The following is a 7930-nucleotide window of genomic DNA, read 5'->3' as shown; positions in this document are numbered from 1 at the left end:
GTGCATTCATCTGAAAGATTTGAAATTTGCTTTTGATTGAGCAGTTTTGAAACACTCTTTTTGTAGAATCTCCAAGTGGGTAATTGGAGCCCTTTGAGGCCTGTTGTGTAAAAGGTAATATCTTCACATAAAAACTAATCAAAAGCATTCCGAGAAACTTTTTTGTGATGTGTGCATTCAACTCACAGAGTTGAACCTATCTTTTGATTGAGCGATTTAGAATCTCTCTTTTTGTAAAATCTGCAAGTTATATTTGGAGAGCTTTGAGGTCTACTGTGGAAAAGGAAATATCTTCACATAAAAACGACACGAAGCATTCTGAGAAACTTCTTTGTGAGGTGTGCATTCAACACAGAGACTTGAACTTATCTTCTCATTGAGCAGTTTTGAATCTATCTTTTTGTAGAATATGCAAATGCATAATTGGAGGCCTTTGAAGTCAACTGTGGAAAAACAAATATCTTCACACAAAAACTACACAGAAGCATTCTGAGAAACTTCTTTGTGATGTGTTCATTTATGTGAAAGAGTTGAACATTTCTTGCGATTGAGCTGTTTTGAAACTTTCTCTTTCTAGAATCTGCAAGTGGATATTTGGAGCTCTTTGAGGCCTATGGTTGAAAAGGAAATATGTTCACATAAAAACTAGACAGAAGCATTCTCAGAAACTTCTTTGTGATGTGTGCATTCAACTCACAAAGTTGAGCCTATCTTTTGATTCACCAGTTTTGAATCTCTCTTTTTGCAGAATCTGCAAGTGGATATTTGGAGCCCTTTCCGGCCTATGGTGGAAAAGAAAATATCTTCAAATAAAACTACACAGAAACATTCTGATAAACTTCTTTGTGATGTGTGCATTCAACTGACAGGGTTGAACCTATCTTATGATTGAGCAGTTTTGAAACACTCTTTTTCTAGAATCTGCAAGTGGATATTTGGAGCTCTTTGAGGCCTATGGCGGAAAAGCAAATATCTTCAGATAAAAACTACACAGAAGCATTCTGAGAAACTTCTTTGTGATGTGTGCATCCATCTCTTAGAGTTGAACCTTTCTTTTGATTGAGCAGTTTTAAAACTCTCATTTGTAGAATCTGTAAGTGGATAATTGGAGCCCTTTGAGGCCTATTGTGGAAAAGGAAATATCTTCACATAAAAACTACACAGAAGCATTCTGAGAAACTTCTTTGTGATGTGTGCATTCATCTCACAGAGTTGAAACTTTCTTTTGATTGAGCAGTTTTGAAACACTTTTTTTGTGGAATCAGCAAGTGGATAATTGGAGCCCTTGGAGGCCTATTGTGGAAAAGGAAATATCTTCACATGAAAACAACTCAGAAGAATTCTGAGAAACTTCTTTGTGATGTGTGCATTCAACTCACAGAGTTGAACCTATTCATTTTTTTGAGCAGTTTAGAATCTCTCTTCTTGTAGAATCTGCAAGTGGATATTTGGAGCACTTTGCACCCTATGATGGAAAAGAAAATATCTTCACATTAAAACTACACAGAAGCATTCTGAGAAACTTCTTCGCGATGTGTGCATTCAACTCACAGAGTTGAACCTATCTTATGATTGAGCAGTTTTGAAACACTCTTTTTATAGAATCTGCAAGTGGATATTTGGAGTGCTTTGAGGCTTACCGTGCAAAAGCAAATATCTTCAGATAAAACTACACAGAATCATTCTGAGAAACTGCTTTTTGATGTGTGTATTCATCTCACAGAGTTGAAATTTTCTTTTGATTGAGCAGTTTTGAAACACTGTTTTTGCAGAATCTGCAAGTGGATATTTGGAGCCCTTTGTGGCCTATGGTGGAAAGGAAATATCTTCAAATAAAAACTAAACAGAAGCATTCTGAGAAACTTCTTTGTGACGTGTGCATTCATCTCACAGGGTTGAACCTATCTTATAATTGAGCAGTTTTGAAACACTCTTCTTGTAGGATCTGCAAGTGGATATTTGGAGAGCTTTGAGGCCAATTGTGGAAAAGGAAATACCTTCACATGAAAACTACACAGAAGCATTCTGAGAAACTTCCTTGTGATGTGTGCATTCATCTCACAGAGTTGAACCTTTCTTTTGATTGAGAAGTTTCGAAACTCTCTTTTTCTGGGATCTGTAGGTGCATAATTGGAGCCCGTTGCGGTCTATGGTGGAAAGGGAAATGTCTTCAAGTAAAAACTACACAAAAACATTCTGAGAAATTTCTTTGTGATGTGCGCATTCATCTCACAGGGTTGAACCTATCTTATGATTGAGTAGGTTTGAAACACTCTTTTTGTAGATCTCCAAGTGGATAATTGGAGCACTTTTAGGCCTATTTTGGAAAAACAAATATCTTCACATAAAAGCCACTCAGAAGCACTCTGAGAAACTTCTTTGTGATGTGTGCATTCAACTCAGAGAGTTGAACCTGTCTTTTGATTGAGCAGTTTAGAATCTCTCTTTCTGTAGAATCTGCCAGTGGATATTTGGGGCCCTTTGTGCCCTATGGTGGAAAAGGAAATATCTTCAAATAAAAACTAGCATTCTCAAAACTTCTTCGTGATGGGTACATTCAACTCACAGAGTAGAACCAATCTTTTGATTGAGCAGTTTTGAATCTCTCTTTTTGCAGAACCTGCAGGTGGATATTTGGAGCTCTTTGGGGCCTACTGTGGAAAAGCAAATATCTTCACATACAAACTACACAGAAGCATTCTGAGAAACTTATTTGGGATGTGTGCATTCAACTTCCAGAGTTGAACCTATCTTTTGATTGAGGAGTTTTGAATCTCTCATTTTGCAGAATCCGCAAGTGGATATTTGGAATCCTTTGTGGCCTATGGTGGAAAAGGAAATATCTTCAAATAAAAACTACACAGAAACATTCTGAGAAACCTCTTTGTGATGTGCGCATTCATCCCACAGGGTTGAACCTATATTCTGATTGAGCAGTTTTGAAACACTCTTTTTGTAGAATCTGCAAGTGGATATTTGCAGCGCTTTGAGGCCTACCGTGGAAAAGTAAATATCTTCAGATAAAAACTACAAAGAAGCATTCTGAGAAACTTCTTTGTGATGTGTGCATTCATCTCACAGAGTTGAACCTTTCTTTTGATTGAGCAGTTTTGAAACACTCTTTTTGTAGAATCTGAAAGTGGATAATTGGAGCCCTTTGAGGCCTATTGTGGAAAAAGAAATATCTTCACATAAAAACTACTCAGAAGCCTTCTGAGAAACTATTTTGTGATGTGTACTTTGAACTCACAGAGTTGAACCTGTCATTTGACTGAGCATTTTTGAATTTCTCTTTTTTTAGAATCCGCAAGTGGATATTTGGAGCACTGTGAGGCCTACTGTGGAAAATCAAGTATGTTCACATAAAAACTACACAGAAGCATTGTGAGAAACTTCTTCATGATGTGTGCATTCAACTCACAGAGTTGAACCTATCTTCTGATTGAGCAGTTTTGAATCTCTCTTTTTGCAGAATCTGCAAGTGGATGTTTGGAGAGCTTTGAGGCCTATTGTGGAAAGGAAATATCTTCACATTAAAACTACACAGTGGCATTCTGAGAACCTTCTTTGTGAGGTGTGCATTCAACTCACAGAGTTGAACTTATCTTCTCATTGAGCAGTTTTGAAACTCTCTTTTTGTGGAATCTGCAAGTGGATATTTGGAGCCCTTTGTGGCCTATGGTGGAAAAGGTAATATCTTCACATAAAAACTACACAGAAGCATTCTGAGAAAAATCTTTGTCATATGTGCATTCATCTCACAGAGTTGATCCTTTCTTTTGATTGAACAGTTTTGAAACACTGTTTTTGCAGTCTCTGCAAGTGGATATTTGGAGCGCCTTGAAGCCTACTGTGGAAAAGTGAATATCTTCACATAAAAACCACACAGAAGGATTCTTAGAAACTTTTTTGTGATGTGTGCATTCATCTCACCGAGTTGAACCATTATTTTGATTGAGCAGTTTGAATCTCTCTTTTTGCAGAATCTGCAGGTGGATAACTGGAAAGCTTTGAGGTCTATTGTGGAAAAGGAAATATCTTCACATAAAAACTACACAGAAGAATTCAGAGAAACTTCTTTGTGATAAGTGCATTCATCACACAGAATTGAACATTTCTTTTGATTGAGCAGCTTTGAAACACTCTTTTTGCAGTATCTGGAAGTGGATATTTGGAGGGCTTTGAGGCCTATTATGGGAAAGGAAATATCTTCACATAAAAACTACACAGAAGCATTCTGAGAAACTTCTCTGTGATGTGTGCATTCAACTCACAGAGTTGAACCTATCTTTTCATTGAGCAGTTTTGAATCTCTTTTTGAATAATCTGCAAGAGGATATTTGGAGCGCTTTGAGGCCTACAGTGGAGAAGCGAATACCTTCACATAATAACGACACGGAAGCATTCTAAGAAACTTCTTTGTGAGGTGTGCATTGAACTCAGAGAGTCGAACCTATCATTTGATTGAGCAGTTTTGAATCTCTCTTTTTGCAGAATCTGCAAGTGGATATTTGGAGGGCTTTGAGGCCTATTGTGGAAAAGGAAATATCTTCCGAGAAAAAATACACAGAAGCATTCTGAGAAACTACTTTCTGATGTATGTATTCAACTCACAGAGTTGTACGTATCTTTTGCTTGAGCAGTTTTGAATCTCTGTTTTTGTAGAATCTGCAAGTGGATATTGGGAGCCCTTTGCATTCTATGGTGGCAAAGGACATATCTTTAAATAAAAACTACACAGAAGGATTCTGAGAAATTACATTGTGATGTGTGCATTCATCTCACAGGGTTAAACCTATCTTATGATTGAGCAGTTTTGAAACACTCTTTTTGTAGAATCTGCTGGTGGATATTTGTAGCGTTTTGAGGCCTATTGTGGAAAAGGAAATATCTTCACATAAAATATACACAGAAGCATTCTGAGAAACTTCTTTGTAAGGTGTGCATTCAACTCACAGTGTCGATGCTATCTTTTGATTGAGCAGTTTTGAATGTCTCTTTTTGCAGAATCTGCAAGTGGATATTTGGGGAGCTTTGAGGTCTACTGTGGAAAAGCAAATATCTTCACATAAAAACTACACAGAAGCATTCTGAGAAACTTCTTTGTGATGTGTGCATTCAACTTACAGAGTTGAACTTATCTTTTGATTGAGGAGTTTTGTATCTCTCTTTTTGTAGAATCTGCAAGTGGATATTTGGAGCCGTTTGCAGTCCATGGTGGAAGAGGAAATAACTTCAAATAAAACTACACAGAAGCATTCTCAGAAACTTCTTCGTGATGTTTTCATTCATCTCATAAGGTTGAACCTATCTTTTGATTGAGCAGTTTTGAATCTCTCTTTTTACAGAATCTGCAAGTGGATATTTGGAGAGTCTTGAGGCCTACTGTGGGAAAGGAAATAAATTCACATAAAAACTTCCCTGAAGCGTTCTGAGAAACTTGTTTGTGATGCATGCATTCATCTCTCAGAGTTGATCTCTTGTTTTATTGAGCAGTTTTGAAACACTGCTTTTGTTGAATCTGCAAGTGGATATTTTGAGCACTTTGAGGCCTACTGTGGAAAAGCAAATATCTTCACATAAAAACTACACAGAAGCATTCTGAGAAACTTCTTTGTTATGTGTGCATTCAACTCACAGAGTTGAACCTATCTTTTGATTGAGCACTTTTGAATCTCTCTTTTTGCAGAATCTGCAAATGGATATTTGCAGTGCTTTGAGGCCTACTTTGGAAAAGGAGATATCTTCACATAAAAACTACACAGAAGCATTCTGAGAAACTTCTCTGTGATGTGTGCATTCATCTCAAAGAGTTGATCCATTCTTTTGATTGAGCAGTTTTGAAACACTGTTTTTGTAGTATCTGCAAGTGGATATTTGGAGCACTTTGAGGCCTACTGCAGAAAAGCAAATATCTTCACATAAAAACTACACAGAAGCATTCTGAGAAACTTCTTTGTGATGTGTGCATTCATCTCACAGATTTTAACCCTTCTTTTGATTGAGGAGTTTGGAAACACTCTTTTTGTAGAATCTGCCAGTGGATATTTGGAGCGATTTGAGGCCTGTTTTGGAAAAGCATATATCTTCTCATAAATACTACACAGAAACATTTTTCGAAACTTCTTTGTTACCTGTGCATTCAACTCACAGAGTTGAACCTATCTTTTGACTTAGCAGTTTTGAATCTCTCTTTTTGTAAAATCTGCTAGTGGATATTAGGAGCCCTTTGCGCCCTATGGTGGAAAAGGAAATATCTTCAAATAAAAACTACACAGAAGCATTCTGAGAAGCTTCTTTGTGATGAGTGCATTCATCACACAGAGTTGAAACTTTCTTTTGATTGAGTAGTTTTGAAACACTCTTTTTGTAGAATCTGGAAGTGGATATTTTAAGGGCTTTGAGGCCTATTTTGGAAGAGGAAATATCTTCACATAAAAACTACACAGAAACATTCTTGGAAACTTCTTTGTGATGTGTCCATTCAACTGACAGAGTTGAACCTATCTTTTGATTTAGCAGTCTCAAGTCTCCCTTTTTGCAGAATCTCTATGTGGATTTTTGGAGCGCTTTTAGACCTACTATGGAAAGGTAAATATGTGCACATAAAAACTACACAGAAGCATTCTGAGAAACTTCTTTGTGAGGTGTGTATTCAACACACAGAGTCGAAGCAATCTTTTGATTGAGCAGTTTTAAATCTCTCTTTAGGCAGAATCTACAAGTGGATATTTGGAGAGCTTTGAGGTCTATTGTGGACAAGAAAATATCATCACATTAAAACTACACAGAAGCATTCTGAGAAATTTCTTTGTGATATGTGCATTCAACTCACAGAGTTGAACCTATCTTTTGATTGAACAGTTTTGTATGTCTCCTTTTAAAGAATCTGCAAGTGGATATTTGGAGACATTTTCGGTCTGTGGCGGAAAAGAAAATATATTCAAGTAAAAACTACACAGAAGCATTCTGAGATACTTCTTTGTGATGTGCGCATTCATCTCATAGGGTTCAACCTATCTTTTGATTGAGCAGTTTTGAATCTCTCTTTTTGCAGAATCTGCAAGTGTATATTTGGAGAGCTTTGAAGCCTACTGTAGGAAATGAAATAAATTCACATAAAAACTTCATAGAAGCATTCTGAGAAACTTCTTTGTGATGTGTGCGTTCATCTCACAGAATTGATCCCTTTTTTTATTGAGCAGTTTTGAAACACTGTTTTTGTTGAATATGCAAGTGGATATTTGGAGCGACTTGAGGCCTACTGTGGAAAAGCAAATATGTTCACATAAAAACTACACAGAAGCATTCTGACAAATTTCTTTGTGATGCGTGCATTGATCTGACAGGTGTGCACCTATCTTATGGTTGAGCAGTTTTGAAGCACTCTTTTTGCAGAATTTGCAAGTGGATATAAGGAGTGCTTTGAAGCGTATTGTGGAAAAGGAAATATCTTCACATAAAAACTACACAGAAGCATTCTGAGAAACTTCTTTGTGATGTGCGCATTTATCTAACAGAGTTGAACCTGTCTTTCGATTGAGCAGTTTTGAAATTCTCCTTTTTTTAGAATCTGCAAGTGGACATTTGGAGTGCTTTACTGTCTATTGCAAAAAAGAAAATGTCTTCACATAAATCCAGACAGAATCAATCTGAGAAACTTCTTTTTGACGTGTGCATTCATCTCACAGAGTTGAAACTTTCTCTTATTGAGCAGTTTTGAACTCCCTTTTTGTAGAATTTACAAGTGGACATTTGGAGCAGTTTGAGGCCTATGGTAGAAAGGGAAATATCTTCACATAAAAACTACACAGAAGCAAGCTGAGAAACTTCTTTGTGATGTGTGCATTCAGATCACAGAGTTGAACCTTTCTTTTGATTGAGCAGTTTTGAAACTCTCTTTTTGTAGAATCTGCAAGTGGACATTTGG

The 7930-nt window shown here is 36.8% G+C and overlaps 5 annotated features.

Moving 5' to 3' along the window:
* Nucleotides 293-1078: an enhancer, noted in NCBI's record as "OCT4-NANOG hESC enhancer chr7:57997400-57998185 (GRCh37/hg19 assembly coordinates)". NCBI's record gives its function as "activates a minimal SCP1, AML or CMV promoter by ChIP-STARR-seq in primed H9 embryonic stem cells {active_cell/tissue: H9 hESC(primed)}" and the evidence as "EXISTENCE:reporter gene assay evidence [ECO:0000049][PMID:30033119]".
* Nucleotides 3440-4225: an enhancer, noted in NCBI's record as "OCT4-NANOG-H3K27ac hESC enhancer chr7:57994253-57995038 (GRCh37/hg19 assembly coordinates)". NCBI's record gives its function as "activates a minimal SCP1, AML or CMV promoter by ChIP-STARR-seq in primed H9 embryonic stem cells {active_cell/tissue: H9 hESC(primed)}" and the evidence as "EXISTENCE:reporter gene assay evidence [ECO:0000049][PMID:30033119]".
* Nucleotides 4226-5012: an enhancer, noted in NCBI's record as "OCT4-NANOG-H3K27ac hESC enhancer chr7:57993466-57994252 (GRCh37/hg19 assembly coordinates)". NCBI's record gives its function as "activates a minimal SCP1, AML or CMV promoter by ChIP-STARR-seq in primed H9 embryonic stem cells {active_cell/tissue: H9 hESC(primed)}" and the evidence as "EXISTENCE:reporter gene assay evidence [ECO:0000049][PMID:30033119]".
* Nucleotides 5013-5799: an enhancer, noted in NCBI's record as "OCT4-NANOG hESC enhancer chr7:57992679-57993465 (GRCh37/hg19 assembly coordinates)". NCBI's record gives its function as "activates a minimal SCP1, AML or CMV promoter by ChIP-STARR-seq in primed H9 embryonic stem cells {active_cell/tissue: H9 hESC(primed)}" and the evidence as "EXISTENCE:reporter gene assay evidence [ECO:0000049][PMID:30033119]".
* Nucleotides 5800-6586: an enhancer, noted in NCBI's record as "OCT4-NANOG hESC enhancer chr7:57991892-57992678 (GRCh37/hg19 assembly coordinates)". NCBI's record gives its function as "activates a minimal SCP1, AML or CMV promoter by ChIP-STARR-seq in naive H9 embryonic stem cells {active_cell/tissue: H9 hESC(naive)}" and the evidence as "EXISTENCE:reporter gene assay evidence [ECO:0000049][PMID:30033119]".

Source organism: Homo sapiens, chromosome 7 (assembly GCF_000001405.40).
Source record: "Homo sapiens chromosome 7, GRCh38.p14 Primary Assembly".
In the NCBI taxonomy this organism is placed as follows: domain Eukaryota; kingdom Metazoa; phylum Chordata; class Mammalia; order Primates; family Hominidae; genus Homo; species Homo sapiens.
The sequence above is the reverse complement of the archived record's forward strand: the minus strand, read 5'-3'. Positions and strand labels throughout refer to the sequence as shown.